We start from the raw sequence: 20246 nt of genomic DNA on the forward strand, positions 1-20246 counted from the left end.
GTAGTCAACTCTTGCCATTTGAATTTGTTCCCTGGAAGACCAAGTTTATGAAATATTCTCAAATATATTGCAAAAATACAAAGAGATAAAAATTATTCACAGACAGATAAGGAATTTGAGGGATTGATCTAGAGAAATGGATATGTACATAATAACAATGCTAGAGTAGAAAAAAGAATGGAAGCAAAATTTAAACAAACATTAAGCTAAAGACAAAGAAACTGAAAGAGCTAATTGAGTTCTAGTTGATTGAGAAGGAAAGACGTAACTAGGCATTTCCTGCTTGCCATAACTTTTTGAAAGTAAGGTTCTTAAGGATAGAGAAACAAATCCTATGAGCTTCTTGACAAAAAAGAACACATTACTTACAAAGAAAAAATAAAATGAGTATAAAAATATGTAAGGTTTATTAATTTTACTAGCCAAGTGTTATATATCCCTATATAATCATATTTTATCAAAATGTCTAAATTTCTGATTTTTAATGTGTGTGTTATATTTTTGGTGCATACCAGTTTATGATAGTTATAAATAATGATTTATAGCATCACAAAACGTCCTTTAATGTTTTGAACTTTACACCTTATCTAAAGTTAATATTGCCATTCCTGCTTTCTTTCTTTTTAATCATTAAAAAATCATAAAAATTTTAATTCAGAGATAGAGCTCAACATTAACAAGGATTAGTTATATGTTATCATCGTTATTTCAGGTCACCAAATGGTTTCACTTAACCCTTTCTGGGCATATAGTAGATTGCTTTTGCTGGCTTCCCTGTGGTTGGGTGAAGCCATGTGACCAGTTGAGTTGTAACAGAATGTGACATTTTCACTTTCAATTCCAATCAGAATTCATTGACAGCAAAACCTCCAGCGCTCTCTTTCTCCTCTTAAATGTGCCTGACAGCATCCAAGTGATGGATACAGTCCAGGCCTTGGAGAGAGATGACAGAGAGATGACACAAAGTAGTCTGCAGCTGATGATGGACAAGTAGCAAGAGTAATCTTAAAGTTTATGAGGAAGAATAAAATTTCAAAAATAAAGCATAAATGTGAAAAAGAAGAGGAACTGAAGATAATCTAAAGCCCTTAAACTCAAATAATGATATTTGGCATTGATAAGGGAACAGAAAACACCCTCAGAAATATGTAGACACTCAGTATGGTCATGTGTCATTTAATGATGGGGATACATTCTGAGAAACATCTCATTAGGTGATTGCATCATTGTGTGCACATCATAAAGTAGACATCCACAAACCTGGAATGGTATAGCCTATTACACATCTTGGCTACATGGTATGGCCTATTGCTCCTAGGCTAGAAACCTGTAGAGTATGTTACTGTACTCAATACTATAGGCAATTGTAACATAAGATAAGTATTTGTGTGTCTAAACATAGAAAAAGTACAGTAAAAATACAGTATAAAAGATTGAAAATGGCATACCTTTATAAGGCCCTTACCATGAATGGGGTTTGCAGGACTGGAAATTGCTCTGGGTGAGTTAGTTGAGTGGTGAGTGACTGTGAAGGCCTAGAACATTACTATACACTACTGAAGACTTTATATAGGCTACACTAATTTTTTAAAAAATTTTCTTTCTCCAATAATAAGTTAACCTTAGCCTACTATAACTTCCCTACTTTATAAACCTTTTAATTTTTTAAAACTTTTTGACTCTTGTAACACTTAGCTTAAATTTTTAAAACTTTTTGACTCTTTTAACACTTAGCTTAAAACACAAACACATTATACAGCTGTACAAAATTATTTTATTTATATCCTTATTCTATAAGCTTTTTTCTAATTTATATATTTTAAGTTTTCTGTTACTTTTCAAATATTTCAGTTATAAACTAAGACACAAACACACACATTAGCCTACGCCTGTTTAGGGTCAGGATAATCAATATCACTGTCTTCCCCTCCACATCCTGTCCCACTGGAAGGTCTTCAGGGGCAGTAACACGCATGGAGTTGTCATCTCCTAGGATAGCAATACCTTCTTCTGGAATGCTTCCCAAAGGACCTGCCTGAGGCTATTTTACATTTAACATTTTTGTTATGACATTCTAAAATAACAATTAAAAGTATGGTAAATACATAAACCAGTAACAGTCATTTATTGTCATTATCAAGTATTACGTGCTGTTCATAATTGTATTGCTATACTTGTATACGACTTGCAGCTCAGTAGGTTTGTTTACACCAGCATCATCACAAACATGTAAGTAGTGTGTTGCGCTATGATGTTTTGCTGACTACAGTGTCATTAGGCAATAGGAATTGTTCAGCTCCATTATAATTATATGGGACCACCCAACAACGTGTTTCATCATTGATTGACATTTTATGTGGCATATTGACTGTTTTCACTGTAGTAATGCAAATGGTGGTAAATCAATAGATAACTTACTAAATGATGGTAGCATAACTATCTATATGGAAGAAAATCATGGTATATCCTTATAGAATACAATATGTAAAAAATATGTTTCCAATAGGGTAAGAATTTGAATGAAACAATAAAACAAATAAAAAATGCTTACAATAAAATTTAGGAGGCTAAAAATATAATCCAGGGGCGGGAAAGATCCTCTTAACTAATACCAGAAACCCACAAACTAGAAGGAAAAATACAGACAAATTTGACTATGCATGAAAGTTTTAGTGTAGTAAAAAATATTATAAACAATGTAGTCTAAAGATAATATACTTGCAAAAATAGTTGTAGTATCTATGACAGTAGAGGGTTAATATCTATACTATATAATATGCTTATTATCATAGCATTTTCTGTTTTCTATCTTTTGTCCACTTTTCTGTATTATATTGTCTCGGGGTATTATACGTTAACTTGTAACACATAATACAGTCCAAATGGCCAATTTGTATATATGTATTTGTGTGTGTCACGCACAAACACACACACACGAGAAAAATGCTAAGTCAGAAAATCTAAAGTAACAGCAAGCTATCATTTTTTACTCATCAAAATATAAAGATATAAATATGTAATAAAACTGCTATTAGGGATTTGGAAGAAAGGTATGTTCTTTAATTACTGAGGAAACTGTGAATTGTAATGTCTTTTTTGAAAGCCATCAGGCAATATAGGTTTTGATCCAGCAATCCCACTCCTGGGATTCTATATTATGATAATCAAGTAACCAGTAGATAAAGAAATAGATATGTACAAGAATGTTTATTGCAGCATTGTTCATAGTGACAAAAAATGGAAAACAAAGTGAATGTCAATAAATGGTTGAATAATTACCACACATTCCATTTAATCACATTATTAAATATGATATATGATATAGCCATTAAATACATAGAACTCGTAGAACTATATGAGTTGGGAGAATGCTCCATGAGTTACTGGTGAGTGAGAAAAGCAACATGTAAGAAAGCATACATAATGTGATCCAATTTTTTTAAAAAACAATGACAAGTAAAACCACTATATCCATATACAGTATATAGAAGAAAATATGGAAAAGTGTGTTATTAATGTGGATTATGGAGATGGGAGGAGCTCACAGGGAACGAGAAAGGAATAAGCAAAAAGGGAAGATTAATGCCAGAAAAGGTGGGGTCAGCACTAAAATGTATATTCAACACCATGATAAATATACTTAATGTAAAATTTTAGATATGTGTGTACATGTTTCAAGATATTAACAAACTTCATAAAATGAAATGTAATAAGAAGAGAAATTCTAAATATTATACTTATAGGAAGGAATAAAAACATTTTACACCACAGTTCCTTCTAGCACTTTCATACATAATAATAAGACTTATAACCCACCCTTCCAAGTACATATACTTGTGTAATGTGTTTTAAATCCCTTTGCTCCAATACACAAACTGAAGAACCTTAGGTAAATTATTTAACCTCTCTGAATGTAAATATTCTTATTAAATTGAAGCTAAAAATATCTACCTTACAAAAATGTGATGCAGAGCAACAGAAAATATTTATAGCAGCACCTCCCCAGCATGTGGCTGGCACCTAGAGAAGTGAAATAACATTTGAAGAATAAATTAGCCACTGGAAAATTTTAATGTTGACTTTTCATTTTCCCAGCCACCTGTTTCTTACTCAAAGACTTCAAATTTTAAAAGGAAGAGAGGGATATTTCAAATTAGATAGTGATAAGGAAATAAATCATGCTTATAACAAGCCTCTTAAGGGATCAAATGGTTTTAGAACCTTTAGGCAGGAACCTTTAGATCCTATGACCTATGACCTAGAGTCACCAATATAATACTAATATTACTAAAGTTAAGTATTTTTCAAATACAAGATTTCAACTCAAATTAATACGGCTTTTTTCTTTGCTCTTTATCCCTCAGTCTATTTCAAAGATGAGGGAATATGTTTTTGTACAAAGAGACAGACAATTAGGAAGCTAAACTGAATAGCTACAACATAAGGTAACATAAAATTATGGAAACCCTGAATTGCCACCAAAAATAATAAAAAAAACTCATCTCTTTACTGGAAGATTTTGTAGTTTTGTAGAGATACTCTGAACATTTACAACTGTCTTATACAGCCATAGTAAAATATACATTCTGTTTATTTGGAAAAGCATTTGTGTCTCCCAAAAGCCTGCAATTAACATCCCTCTTCTTTCTCTTACCAATTTCTTACTTCATTCTTGTTTCTTTACTTTATTACCATACATAAAGAAACATAAGCTTTCTTCTTAGCACATATCTTCCCAATGCTTACATTGTTACAGTGTTGCTTTATTGAATTATTATTAATCTTCCACTGCTATTATACACAAGCATTCAACCTCAACCTGTTTTCCCTAGAAAAAAACATATAAGGTGTGAAATCTTTGCTTCACTCACATTGGCATTCTGGAGTCTAAAGTAGATCAAATTCAGTGGAATAATAATGTCATGCATCAATGTCTTTTCTTCCTATTTTGCACCAACATAATGAATTCTCAGAAATCAGAGCTGTCACAATTATATGAAAAGAGACATGAGTATAGCTTTTACCTACTAAACAACTCTCATTTTATTAAAAGCCTATGACTAGAGATGAAAATAAAATAAAAAGCCGAAAAAAGATAATCATAAAATAAGCATATTCTTGCTATTCAAAACTTGAAATAAGAACATAACAGAAATCTAAGATGGCAGATAAATACATATCACTTAAATACAATTTAATATACTAACTCTAGTTTACTTTTATTAGACTTTCAGAGTGTCACAGGTCACGACTATCTAGTGCCAGTATCATGCAGGTGATAAGAAGAATTTACCAAGACAAGGGCAGATTTATTAGAGAAAGTATGAAAATACACTGCAAGAGTGCAACAGGCAGGACAGCAAGAAAGGAGCTGACTGCAATGAGACAGAGGCTTGCTGGAGATGTTTATAGGATGACGCTTGTGCTATGTGCTGAAAAGGGCTTTGTGCAGTACTGGTAACACCAAGGCTGCAGTGAGCTAACTTGTATTTTTCTATCAGCCAAGAGTCTAGTAATAGCTGGGTGCAGGAAGATGTGTCCTGGACCATGAAAAAGGCAGACTTTATAACTTATCTGTTTTTTCTTTCACTTTCCCCTGCTCCTACTGGCCTGACTTCTTTTCCCTAATTAGGACTCCACACAGAGGTCCAAATTTTATTTATTGATTTAGAAATTTTATTAATTAATTCCTTTAAGTCCAATTCTATTTAGACTTTCCTTCTCTGCTGTATCCTTTTTCTACACTGTGGAAGGCCATTTATCCAGAGCGTCACAATGCCCTCCACTGCTGGTAGATTTTACATTTAAGGATAACACTGATAAATGAAGGTGATACATATTAAAAATGAGTTTCTAGGTTTCCAACAAATAAAAAAGAGTATACCTTCTGTTAAAGGTTGAGTTGTATCTCCCAAAAAGATATGTTGAAGCCTTAACACCCGGTACCTGTGAATATGACCTGAGCTGGAAATAGGGTCTTTGCAGATGTAATCGAGTTAAGATGGAGGTTCATTATATTGAGTTAAGATGGGCCCTGATTCAATGACTAGTGTTCTTAAAATGGAGAAAATTTGGACACAGAGACACACAAGGAAGAACACCATGGAATTATGGAGGTAGAGATTAGAATGATGCATCTACCAGCCAAGAAATGCCAAGCATTGCTGGAAACCTCCAGAAGGTAGAAGAGGCAAGAAAGAATTCAACTCCTATGGCCTTCAGAGGGAGCATGGTCCAGCATAGCCTCCAGACCTGTGATATATTTGTATTATTTTAAGCTACCTAGTTTGTGGTGCTTTGTTACGGCAGCCTAGGAAACTCATATATCTACTAACTTACTCGTTTCAAGCAATATTGCCAGGAAGAGCTGATACAGACAGGGCTTCTAACCAACAACAAACATAAAAATATTGGAAAATTTTTTAAAAGAAAAATCAATATATAGCTAAACTTCAAAGAAAGAAAAGAAAGTCCTCAGGAGCAAGAAAGGAATAGGGAATTCAGGCCAGAAATGAACCTTAAGAGCTTTTAAAATTATTTTTAAATATTTTAAACATATAAAAATACACAAAACATATTAAACATTCATGTACCAATCATGGATTAAGAAATAAAATATCAGTAATCTTGGAATTTCTTTGTACTCTTCTCCAATTTCATCCTCCTACTTACTCTCCTCCCAAAGTAATAATAATTCTAATATTTGATAATTTTTATTCTTAACAAATAGCTTCATTCTTTTGTGCGTATGCATCAATATACATGCATATGTGTATACATACACACATAATTTCGTTTTGTTTGGATTTTCTAAAAATTGTTTTGTTTTAATTTTATACTTTCTTTGTCACTTACTTTTCCCACTTAACTATGAAAGATTTGTCCATGTTGATAAATGTCACTTTAAATTATATAGAATATTTCATTGTAAAATATCCTACAAAAGATTAGAGAATACATCCAGGAACTCCAAGGTTTAAAGTGTAAGTGTGCCAAAAATAGGAAACAGAAATAGAAGAGAGGAAATAAACATTCACTGCCCCAGGGCTTTCCAATCAGTAGGTGGCAGTCAGTAAGCCAGGTTTGTGTTCTTCCTTTCAGGGTAGCAAGTTCCCCCAGACCCTGAGCAGGTCCAGAGATGCTGTTTGGGAGCAAACACCATAAGGCTGGAGTCAAAAAACCTTATAAATGTACCTAGTGTTCTATTTTACTGCTGCTATGCTGGCATCTGGCATGCAGACCACAAGACAAAGTCCTTTCCGCTCTTCCATTCCCTTTTGACAGACAGAGGAGCCCCTCCCCATGGCCATCACCACTGCTGGCCCACAGGGGGTTCTACCAGGCCACCCCAATGTTCACTTAAGGCCCAAGGGCTCTTCAGTCAGCTTGTGGTGAGTGCTGCTTGGCCTGGGACTCACCCTTCAGGGCAGTGGGCTCTCCTCTGGCCCAGGAAAGGTCCAGACATGCTGTCCAAGAGCCCAGGCCTGGACTTGGGGACCCCAAGAGCCCACTTGGTGCTCTGCTGCACTGTGGCTAAGCTGGTACCTGAAACCAGCATGGCTCAGGGTTTCATCCAAGGCCAATGGTGTACTATCTGGGTATCACTGCTGGTTATTCAGGGCCTAAGGGCTCTTTAGTCAGCACGTGAGTAATCCTTCCAAGACTGGATTTTTCCCTTCAAGGTAGCTGTTTCCTTTCTGGCACAGGGTGTGTCTAGAAATGTCATCTGGGAGCCAGGGTGTGGAACTGAGGCCTCATGACTCTGCCTGGTGCCCTAGTCTACTGTGTCTGAGCTGGTATCCAGGATGCAAGACAAAGTCCTCTTTACTATTCTCTCTCCTCTCCTCAAGCAAAAGGAAGGTGTCATTTTTGTTGCTGCAAGCTGCGCTGCCTGGGGTTGTGGGAAAGGCAGTATAAGCATTCCCTTTCCTGTGACATCTGTTGTCACACTAGGTAACTCACTGCCCCAGTCCACTTGTCTAAGCCCAGCACAACATCAGGACTTGCCTAAGAATTGCAGTCCTTGTATCCTAGACTGCTTTTCAAATTTACTTATGACCCCAGAGTACTTTAAACCACAGTGGCAAGGCTTGCCAGAACTGAAGTTCCAACTGCTGGTATGGGCACTTCCCCTTTGCCTAGGTCTGGTCCAAATGCTCCCTTGTGAGAAGGTCCCAGCTGAGTTGAGCATGGTTTTGTTTTCAACTATGACAGAGCAGCACTGAATTCAATGCAAAGTCCCCCATCACTGTGCTCTCCTTCCCCTAAGTACAGATTCTCCGTGCCACGTGGCCACTACTAAGGAAGTGGGGAGGAATGGCATCAGCAATTCAAGAGTGTCTTTTCTACTCTTTTCAGTGCCTCTTTCAGAGATATAAAGTTAAAATTAAGTACTGTGATTGCTCTTCTGATTTTTGGTTCTTAAGAAGATGCTTTTTTGTGTGTGCAAATAGTTGTTAAAATGTGTTTCTGCAGAGATAATCAGTAGTGGAGTCTTGGCTATGGTAAATGTGATTGCATTCTTGATTTGGCTCTCAGCTTGAATGTTATAGGTTTATAGGAATGCTACTGATTTTTGTACATTGATTTTGTATTCTGAAACTTTACTGAAGTTATCAGTTCCAGGAGCCTTACAGTAGAGTCTTTAGCGTTTTCTAGGTATAGAATCATATTGTTAGTGAAGAGAGATAGTTTGACTTCTTACTTAACTATTTAGATGCCTTTTATTTCTTTCTTTTCCTAATTGCTTTGGCAAGAACTTCCAGTACTATGTTGAATAAGAGCAGTGAGACTGGGCATCCTTGTCTTGTTCCAGTTCTCAAGGAGACTGCTCCCAATTTTTAGCTATTCAGTATAATGTTGGCTGTGAATTTGTCACAGAGGGCTCTTACTATTTTGAGGTACGTTCCTTTGATGCCTAGTTTCTTGAGGGTTTTTATCATAAAAGGATGTCGAATATCATCAAAAGTTTTTTCCACATCTATTGAAATGATCATATGGTTTTTTGTTTTTAATTCTATTCATTCGGTAAATCACATTTATTGATTTGTGTATGTTGAACCAACCTTGCATCACAGGAATGAAGCCTAGGTGATCATAGTGAATTAACTTTTTGATGTGCTACTGGATTCATTTTGCTAAGGATATTTGCGTCTGTGTTCATGAGAGATATTGGTCTTCAGTTTTCTTTTTTCATTGTGTCTTTGCCAGGCTTTAACAAAATGGAGATGCTGGTTTGGTAGAATGAGTTACAGAGGAGTCCCTCCCCTTCGATTTTTTTTTTGAGGGGGGCGCGGATAGTTTCAGTAGAATTGGTACCAGCTCTACTTTGTACATCTGTTAGAATTCAACTATAAATCTGTCTGATTCAGAACTTGTTTTTGGTTGGTAGGGTCTTTTTTGTGTTTTGTTTGTTTGTTTGTTTGTTTGTTTGTTTGAGATGGAGTCTTGCTGTCTCGTCCAGGCTGGAGTGCAGTGGCGCGATCTCGGCTCACTGCAAGCTCCGCCTGCCGGGTTCACGCCATTCTCCTGCCTCAGCCTCCCGAGTCGCTGGGACTACAGGCACCCGCCACCACGCCCGGCTAATTGTTTGTATTTTCAGTAGAGACGGGGTTTCACCGTGTTAGCCAGGATGGTCTCGATCTCCTGACCTCGTAATCTGCCCACCTCACCCTCCCAAAGTGTTGGGATTACAGGCTTGAGCCACCGAACCCGGCCTTTGGTAGGTTTATTACTGATTCAATTTTGTAACTCGATATTGGTCTATTCACGGTTTTGATTTTTTGCTGATTCTATCTTGGAAGATGGTATGTTTCCAGGAATTTATCCATTTCCTCTAGGCTTTCTAGTTTGTGTGCATAGCAGTGTTTGTAATAGTCTCTGAGGATCATCTGTATTTCTGTGGGATCAGTTGTAATGCCATCTTTTTCATTTCTAATTGTTCTTATTTGGATCTTCTCTCCTCTTTCTTTTTTAACCTAGCTAATAGCTTAACAATCTTGTTTATACTTTCAAAAACAAACTTTTGATTTTGTTGATTCTTTGTATGAAATTTTAGGTCTCAATTTTGTTCAGTTGTGCTCTTTTAGTTTTCTTCTGCTAGCTTTCAGGTTAGTTTGCTCTTGTTTCTCTAGTTCCTCTAGGTGGGATGTTAGATAATTAATTTGAAATCTTTCTAACTTTTCAAGTTAGGTGTTTAGTGCTATAAACTTTCTTCTTAACACTACTTTTGCTGCATCCCAGAGTTTTGGTATGTTGTGTCTCTGCTTTTATTTCATGAAAGAATTTTTTTAATTTCTTCCCTAATTTTGTTGTTTACCCAAAAGTCATTCAGGATTATGTCGTTTAATTTCCATGTAATTGTATAGTTTTGAGAGTTTTTTGGTATTTATTTCTACTTTTATACCACTGTGTTTTGATAGCATGGTTGATATGATTTACTCTTTTTTTCAACTCAATAGGACTTGCTTTATAGCTGAGCATGTGGTTGATCTTGGAGTATGTTCTGTATGCAGAAGAGAAGAATGTATACCCTGTGGTTGGTGAGTGGATTGTTCTACAGAGGTCTATTAAGTCAAATTGGTCAAGTGTCAAATTTATGTTCAGAATTTCTGTGTTAGTTTTCTGCCTCAATGGTCTAATGCTGTTGCTGAGGTTTTTAAGTCCCCTACTATTATTGTGTTGCTAAGTCTTTTTGTAAGTTTAGAAGTTCTTGTTTTTTGAATCTGTATGTTCCAGTGTTGGGCGCATATATATTTAGGTTAATTAAGTCTCATTGCATTGAACCCTTTAGCATTATGTAATGGCATTTCTTGTTCTTTTTTACTGTTGTTGGTTTAAAGTCTGTTTTATCTGATGTAAGAGTAGTGACCTCTGTTCTTTTTTGCATTCTGTTTTTGTAATAGATATTTCTCCAATCCTTTACTTCTGGCCTATGGGTGTCATTACGTGTCAAGTGGGTCTCTTGAAGATAGCAGATGGATGGTCTTTTTTTAAAATTCGATTTGCTATTCTGTGCCTTTTAAGTATGATATTCAGACCACTTACATTCAAGGTTAATATTGATATGTGAGGCTTTGATCATATCATGAAGTTGTTAGTTCGTTGCTTTGTAGTTTCTATTGTGTGGTTGCTTTATAGGGTCTTTGAACTATGTAATTAAGTGGGTTTGTGTGGCAGCATGCTTTTGTTTCTAAATTTACGACTCCCTTGAATATCTCTTGTAAGGTTTGTCTAGCAGTAATAAATTCCCTTAGTATTTGTTTGTCAGAAAAAGATTTTATATCTCCTTCACTTATGAAGTTTATTTTGGTAAGATATGAAATTATTGGTTGGAATTCCTTTTCTTTAAGAATGCTGAAACTAAGCTTCCAATATCTCCTGGTTTGTGAGGTTTCTGCTGAGAAGTCCACTCTTAGCCTGATGGGGTTCCCTTTGTACATGATCTGATATTTTTCTTTAGCTGCTTTTAAGAGTTTTTTTCTTTAGCATTGATCTTCTGCAGTCCAGTGACTATTTTCCTTGGTGATGTTCATTTTGTACAGTATCTGAAAGACGTTCTATGAATTTCTTATATCTGGATGTCTACCTCTCTAACAAGATTAGGAAAATTTTCTTGAATTATTTCCTCAAGTATGTTTTTTAGGTTGTTTTCTTTTTCTCCATCCCTCTAATGAATTCCAATAATTCATAGGTTTGGTCACTTTACATAATCTCATATTTCTTGAAGACTTTGTGTTTTAAAATTCTTTTGCCTTTTTTTTTTTTTTTTTTTTTTTTGTCTGACTGGGCTAATTCAAAAGACTGGCCTTCAAGCTCTGAAATTCTTTCTTCTGCTTGATCCAGTCTATTGGTAAAGATTTACATTGTATTTTGAAATTCCTTAAGTAAGTTCTTCAATTCCAGAAGCTCTGATTGTTTTCTTTTTAAGATGTTTATCTCTTCTTTTATTTCCTGAATTGCTTTAGAAGTTGTTACTTCATGTTGATTTTCAACCTTGTCTTGGATCTCATTGAGCTTCCTTGCAATTTATGCTTTGAATTCTTATCTGTCATTTCTGGGTATCCACTTTGGTTAGGGAACATTGCTGGAAAGTTAGTGTGATCCTTTGATGATGTCACTACATTCATGTTTTTAATGGTGCCAAAATTCTTACACTGGTCCCTTCTTATTTGGAGACATTGTGGCACTTCTAATTATTGTAATTATTTTCATGTGGGTAAGATTTTTTCTTTTTCTTTCTTTCCCTATAATATTTTTGATATTTTTGGTGGTGTTGTTCTTTCCTTTTCCCTGCTCCAGATAGAGTGTGACTTTAGAGAATGCTGTAGGACTTTGGTTTTGCTTTTCCCTATGCACTTCTGTCCTTGGGTTTTACATTGGGCTGTGCAGTTTGTCCTACAGGCCAGTAGGTGGCCCTTAGGAGTAAGAGCCGGCTGTGGCCAATGCAGCTGGGTATATACTTGATTACTGTTTACTGGGAGATCTCTTGCCTCAGGCAATGGATTGATTCATGAAGTGCACAGTACTCTGAGCTCCCTCCTCATCTCCAGAGAGCTGGAGGGCAAGATGAGCAGGGACAGACTGGGTAGGTCCCCCTACAGGTCCCCTGATGGGAGGCACAGGCAACAGCCCTGAGGGAGAACCCAGAGATGTGCCTAGTTGTGGAGCTGGGAAACCTCCTTGACCCAAGCTCTCTGCATGAGGATGGGGGGCAGCCTAAACTCTTACTCCAAGAGAGTGGGTGCTCCAGAAGCTTGGAGATCTGCCTGGGTGTGGAGTAGAGAGAGCCCCCCTGTACCAGGATCTCTGAACAGGAAGGGTGGAGTGACTCAGGCTGCTATTCCAAATGAGCAGGTCCTTCAGATGCCTGGAGATCTTCTTGAGCATGAAGCAGAAAGAGACCCCCTGCACCTGTGTCTCTGCACAGGAAGGGTGGGCCATCTCAGGCTGCCAATCCAGGCAAGCAGGTGCTTTACATGCTTGGAGATCTACTCACCTGGAACAGAGGGGGCCTCGATATGCCATGACCTACGCCGGGAAGGGTGCTTATGCTGCTGTTCCAGGCAAGCAGTTGCTCCCAATGCCTGGAGATCTGCCTGGGCATGAAGCAGAGTGTCCTCCCACCCCATACCTGTTATCTGCACAAGAGGGTGGGCGGCTCAGTCTGCCAATCCAGGCAAGCAGGTGCTTTGAATGCCTAAAGATCTGCTTGGATGTGGAGTAGAGAGGGCCTCACTGCACTATGATCTATGTTGAGGGAGGGTGGGGCAGCTTAGGCTGCTAAACCAGATGAGTGGGTGGTCTGAATGCCTAGAAATCTGTCTGGGCATGAAGCAGAGAGGGCTTTCCTGTACAGAAGCTCTGTGCAAAAAGATTGAGTCAACTCAGGCTGCTAGACCATGCAAGCCAGTGCTCCAAATGCCTGGAGATCTACCTCCCTGTGGAGAAGAGAGGGCCCCCCTGGTCCATAACCTATGTACAGGAAGGGTGGGACAGCTCAGGCTACTGATCCAGGCAAGGAGGTGCTCTGAATACCTGGAGATCTGCCTGGGCATAGAGCAAAGATGGCCCCACTGCACCACAATCTATGTCTATGAAAAGACGGGCAGCCCAAGCTGCTGGTCCAGGCTGGCAGGTACTCCAAATGCCTGTATTTCTGCCTGGAGGTGAAGTGGAGTGGGTCCTGCTGCACCACGACCTTAGGGGAGCAGCCTGGGGAACCCAGCAATGACACACACAGACTGGTTCCAGGTGACCTGGAACTGCACATCTGGCCCTGGCTGCACATCTCATCTAGGAAAAACTGCTGCTGTAGCAGCTCTCCTCCCACCCCAGGCTTATGACAGGGAGAGCACAATTCCACAACCTACCGCTGAGGCACTTTCCACAGTTCTGTCTATGGAGGCCCCTACCACACTCCAGAGCAGACATTCCAATCTCTGGCCCAAGACAAATGTCTGCGTGGCCATACTGCTGAGGCACCAAAGAATGGCTGACTTTGTATCAGCCTGGATTAAAAGTGGCCTTCTGCTTTTGGTCCTAAATCTTGGAAATTGCCTGTAGCTTTTCCTGGTGTGTTTCCCTCACAGCATTTCCAAGCCTCTCCCCAAGTTAGCTTCAAGACTTGGGAGAAATGAAGTGTTCTCCCTTGGCCTAGGTCACTCAGCTCTCCCTGTAAGTCACAGAGGGAGGTTCTCTGCCTCTTTTGCATATGGGGGCTTCACTCACTTCACTCACTCCTCCCCGGGATCTGGGATGTCCTTCATAATTCTGGTGGGTTCCTACATTCCTTCTTGAATTAAAGCTTAGGGAGTTTATCTTTATGCACTATCTTGCTATTTCCAAGTGGCTGAGGCACACTAAAAGCCTCTAATCTGCCATCTTGAAAAAATAAAACAAACTAATCTTTGATCTTGATGCTGTGATTGGGTAAGACTTGTGTTGTCTTCCTTGGACAGGGAAGTAAGTATATTTTGCCTGTGGAGGGAAGGGAAGTGAATATTTGTGACAAAAAAAAACTTGGACTGAAGTCAACTGCATTATTGTTCTCAAATATTCACACTCCACTCTTTACTCCTATGAGTGGAATAACTGCCTTGCTTCACTGATGTTGGTCTTACCTGCGGGACTCACTTTGGCTTACAGAATGGGATCAGATGTTGGTCTTACCTACAGGACTCACTTTTGGCTTACAGAATGGGATCAGAGGTTCAACTCAGCATTTCCGGCTCTTCTTCTTTGCTGTAAAATAGGGATGTCCCACACAGGAACTCTTCCTGCAATCTGGTGCCAGAATGAAACACACCCCTCAGGCATGAGCTGAGGCACCACTAACCTAGAGCCTTCATTTCACGAGAATGTGAAATAAATATTTGGGGTTTTAAACTACTGAGATTTGGGTGGCCTTATTAACCCAGCATAACCTATCAGAGCTGGTTAATACAATCAGTTCTAAAATCAATTTGGCAACATCTAGTTAATTTGAAGATGTACATAGTTTATAATCTACTAATTCCACTTACAGTTATATACTCTAGAAAAACTTTTATACATGGGCACAAAAAGATATACACAAGGTTGTTATTGAAATGTTTGCAAGAACTAAACATGTAAATAATCTAAATATCTATCAATAAGAAGTATATACATTTAGTATATACATGGGATACTATACAAAATTTTAAATGATTAAATTGGGTATAATAAAATTAATACCAATATTTAAAGCAATGTGTAAAAAAATCATGTTGCCAAAGTATAGGTGTGATACCACTTGTAGTAAAGTTGTAAACACAAAAAAGTTATAAATATTATTGAAATACACACACAAGTTATATATATTATTGAAATACACACACACACACACACACACACACACACATATATATAGGAAACATAAATGGCAAGGGCATACCAAACTCAAGACAGTAGTTGCCTTTGCAGAGAGAAGGATAAATGAGATCAGGAAAGGATTTAAAGAAGACTTCAAATATGTCAATTTTCTCTTTCATATATCCGAAATCCCAATTGGCAAAATGTCAACACTCGTTAAATCCAGGTGTGTGGTAGCTATTTTTTCTGATTATTTCTATATGTTCCATTAGAACAATCTTTGTTTAATCTGATGCCCATTTCAATTCATACTCTTTTGAAATATGTCTTCCCCAAATAATTCTTTAGCTGCTTGTATATATATTCTACTTTCACTATACTATTAACATTAAAGACAAGTTCTACTTGTTATACTGGGCAGTGAGGCAACATGATATAATGAAAATATTGTGCACTCTGGACTCAGGGAAGCTTAGGCCAGATTCTTGGTTTGAACAAGCTGCAAATATCTAAACTCTCTGTGGTTTGGTTACTATCCTACAATGTCATAATTAAGACAAAGTCATTGCTATATCAAAAGCACTTAATAAATAAAAATGATTGGGTGATAATAATGATATCTAATTTATATTGAATGTTTTCTTTATTCTGTGAACTCTTTCAATCACTTAAATTGTATTCTTAATGCCTCTCTGCCCAACATTTATTCCCATTTTACAGATGAGGAAACTGAAGAGGTGAAAACTTATTCATCTGAGTTTTTACTTTACTCAATACTTGTTGTATTAATTCTTATAATATCCTACATGGCCCTAAAATGGTAAAGAAATGAGTAGAACTTCCTGGAAAAAGGAACCTATATTACAATAACAACCCAACTTATGCACATTTATCTTAATACCTGAGCACTCAAAAAACATCTATTCAAAGATATCCTTGGCATAAAGATGTTATCTGCCGTTCCCTGTGTGTTTTCCAAGCCAATTTATGGTCTCCTATGCATCCTAGTGTTTCAACAAATACAAACCAACAGATTAATTATACATTGATGTGGGATAAAAGGTGAAATTATATTTCTTTATCCTATAAAAGGTGAACATAACTTCGCCTTTTATCCTATATGTTCTTGAGGAGAAAGCAGACAAAAGCAAATTTGGGGGGCTAACAAAATGAACTTTAGGCTTATTATTTTCTCTTTTGTCCAGTTTTAAATCTTACTTTAGCACATTGCAGTGACAAAAGCCCACCAAAGATTTGTCATTTCAGCACACAAAAAAAGTCTAAGATATTCACTTCAATTTATTTGAGCTACTTTATATCCCACATTTATGATTTGTCTTCACACCTAGTCTGTTTAACTTCGCACATAATTCCTTCATGGGATGGTAATTTGTAATATAATGACTAGATTATATTAACCTTCAAGTCATTCAATAAAAATGATGTTTGAAAAACAAAATGTCTTAGTATCCTCCAAGGGCCCTCTATTCCTGGTTGAATTTTAAAATCATTTCAAGCCTGATGTTGTCTTTATATCTCTCTAGTCCAGGCTAAACCCTATGTAAATAGTTTTGAAGGTTTAGGTTCACTTGTTTTGCTTACAGAAGAAAAATAAATGCAGTTTCACTGTAGCTGAATTTTATTAGCATTTTCACATGAATCAAAAAATTACAACTTATTGGGATATTCAATCAGTAATGTGGCATTTCTGACACATATTCACTTGATTATTTCATTTAGGTAAAAATACTTCAGGCAAAGCAATAGTTCCAACCTAAGAAAGTTAAAAACTTTCTGCATTAAATCATTTAATTAAAATGTGTTTATGTTTATCTCTGCAGTGAATAATTTGGCAGAATTTTTAATACCAACAGAAAAATGGATCATGATGAAGTATGATTTAAAATATTTTAGAAACTTAGAAAAAATAAAAAATGAAAACTTGTTATTTCTTGCCAACTCATTGGCTCCAACAAAACCAGTAATAGCCACCATCAGTTTTATCAAAGACCACATTTTCAATTTTAGTACCTTATAGTTACTAATGAAAGGAATAAACTAGTACCTTCTAAAAACCTTCATACTATCTGGCCTAGAATTTGTATTTCAGTAGATGCAAATAAGTCAAGGAACAGGGAATCTGCAAAGCAGACAAGTAATTAAAACAGGAAAAAGAAAAAGAACAATTCAAACAAGTTTGATTAAAATCATGCCAAAGGGAAATGAGGCTTTGGATTATAAGGAGGAGCTGAAAGGTATTTCTAGATCACTGTTTCTGTCTCTGGTACTTGAATGTGGATGGGGAATCTAATGATAGCTATGTTCTTTTCTTAGAAATTACCCTTGTTTGGAGAACTTCAAAAAATTATCAGATGAGAACTCACAGAAGGTAAGTAAAGGGAAAAACCAATAGCTCCATTACCTCAAAAGAGAACTCCACTGGACAATTTGAGAAAATTGAAGACTGTGCCAGCTAATTCATTTCTCTAAATTCAGCAGTAATAGGCAGCTGAAAAAGAATTATAATCTAGGACTACCTGTTTCAAATAGCCATATGTTTTTTAATATCTCTGAGATTCTCCTTAGCCATTTTGTGATACGAGTTTTATTTTAAGGTGGCTCAAATTCTCTTAATAAGTAGAAAATAATGACAAATGAGCACACTCCAAATTCAGTCTTTTATCATTTTAATTAAATATGTCAGTGGCCTTTCCTGTTAGCAGAAAAATATGAAATGTATGTGGGGAATAAATCAAGAAAACTTTCATGGATATTGTGGAGCAACTTAGTTCTTTATGTTTGCTTCAAATCCATGTGGAAATAGATAAGGCACAAATACTGAATAAGTTAATTTATCTGAAGCTTATAACAATGTCAAATATATTACTTTTATAAGGGATCTTTCTGAAACAACACATTAAAATACCATCTGAAATTGGTTTCTCTAGACCCTGACTAGCCATCTTCTTACATATTTTACTCCAAAACCTTTTTCTGTACAACATGCGATTGTTTCTCTCTCTTTTAAAATATATTAGGATCTGAGAAAAGAAATATATTTTGACTCAGATATACTACAGATTGAAGGCCTCCAATCTGGTCAACATAATCCACCATATTAAATGTTCAAGTTTAATTGGCTTGTCTCATTAAGGATAATTAGTTAAGGCTATAAATGACTTACCTCACTAAGGATGAACAGTTAAGGCTATAATTAAATCCCCATTCCTGTGGCCAGGTCTTAGGAAAACATAACCAAAAGACAGCTAAGCCCCTCAATTCCAGTGTAAAGGGCCTGATGCAGAGGAAGAGGGAAAAGCTTGTCTTCAGTGCTGGTTTGCTGAGTATGTGTGTATTCACACAGGGGAAACTATAAGAGATATGAGGCCCCTTCATAGGATCAGGCTGGCTCCACATCTGTTCTAGTCTTAAGATACCTTGAGTCCCAACTCTACTTCCTGCTTTTCCAGTGTGTGGAACTTTGCCAGCAAACATGTTCCAGGAGGAGCCATTAACAACTCATATTCATAATCCACATGTCTTCCATGGGAAAGAATATTCTGCATGGCAGTGACCTTCCTAACTTAGCATTAAACAGGAATTATTCTAGGTATATGTTAATATTTCATTTAATCCAAGGGCAGGGATGCAAACAGGCTTCAAGAGCTACTCAATGAACAAAGCACTAGAAAGCCATTTGGAACCAAGGAATCTATCCTTTCATAGTTTTCAAGGGCATGAGGTTTCAAACTTCTCTCCCTCCCTTCCTTCCTCATTCCTCCCTCCTTCCCTCCCTCTCTTCCTTCCTTCCTTCTCTCTCTCTCTCTCTCCTCACCTCCCTCCTTTCATCTCTCTCTGTGTGGACCGAAGTTCTAAGTTCTTTTGTTATTTCCATGCACATCTGAAGCATCTTATATGTATGAGGTACCTGTGGCTCTTAAATGTCCAAGATACCTAGTGTGTTTCACTTTCAATTTCAAATTCACTAGATATAGAATTAAATATAGAACAAGTGGAATTGCGTGCTTATCCCTAATCCAATCATTTATGGCCGGGGAGATTTGGTTCCATACTAGATAATGGCAGCTGAGATCCATTTCTGTAGGTTAGGAGTAGATTATAAATAAAGGATGTTGTATGTGGGTCCAACGACCCAAAAAGTATCTCTTTTATTGAGTCATAGAAAGTTGAATCACGCGAAGTTTAGCTAGCCATTCCTATCTACATTAAAGAAATTTAGAATTATACCCTAATTCAGTATCTTTCTACAGGTGGTCAAAGACTGGTATAAATATCTATCTAGTTCATATATCTTTATTTATATTTATCTATTGATTGATCTATCAATCTGTCTATATGTGATCTATACTACACATATCTATATCTTTCTATTGATTAATCTGTTCTATACTAGATATATATGTCTATCTTTATCTATTGTAGGATATAGATGTATATAGATATGTTTAGTAGATATATATATAAATATATTTAGTATATCTATTTCTACACCTCTTTATATACATTGATAGAGATAGAGATAGATATATCTGTTATAGATCACATTGCAATTGCCAAAAGTTCAGCTCTTTTTCCAGATAGGCCAGTGCCAGGATATGTTCAGAGGACTCTTCTTGGTAATCCTGTAGTAGGCAACTGCTACCACTCTGGTGGAATGATGAATCAATCATATCTGCAAGGACTGACAACAGCAGGACCGGGCAATCTCCAGGAACCTGATACAGCCTGGAGGCGGGCAACTATGGTGCCCCTTCTGGCCATATACCTGCCTGACTTGATTATTACCATAGGAATACATAGTTTGAAGAAGGCTTGAAAACAATTACAATGGACCAGGTGCTACCCAGCAGAAAGAGAAATTTAAGGGACCCCTTTTACGGCAGAGTGCATCT

The 20246-nt window shown here is 36.9% G+C and overlaps 1 long non-coding RNA gene across 1 annotated transcript in view; it reads left to right on the forward strand.

Moving 5' to 3' along the window:
• LOC107986309 (uncharacterized) overlaps positions 1-20246 on the forward strand; it is a 123175-nt gene that overhangs the window by 79887 nt on the left and 23042 nt on the right. The window contains exon 2 of the long non-coding RNA XR_001741806.2: positions 17668-17722. This is a non-coding gene — a long non-coding RNA (uncharacterized LOC107986309). The remainder of the gene's footprint in view (positions 1-17667; positions 17723-20246) is intronic.

Source organism: Homo sapiens, chromosome 4, assembly GCF_000001405.40.
Source record: "Homo sapiens chromosome 4, GRCh38.p14 Primary Assembly".
Taxonomy (NCBI): Eukaryota; Metazoa; Chordata; class Mammalia; order Primates; family Hominidae; genus Homo; species Homo sapiens.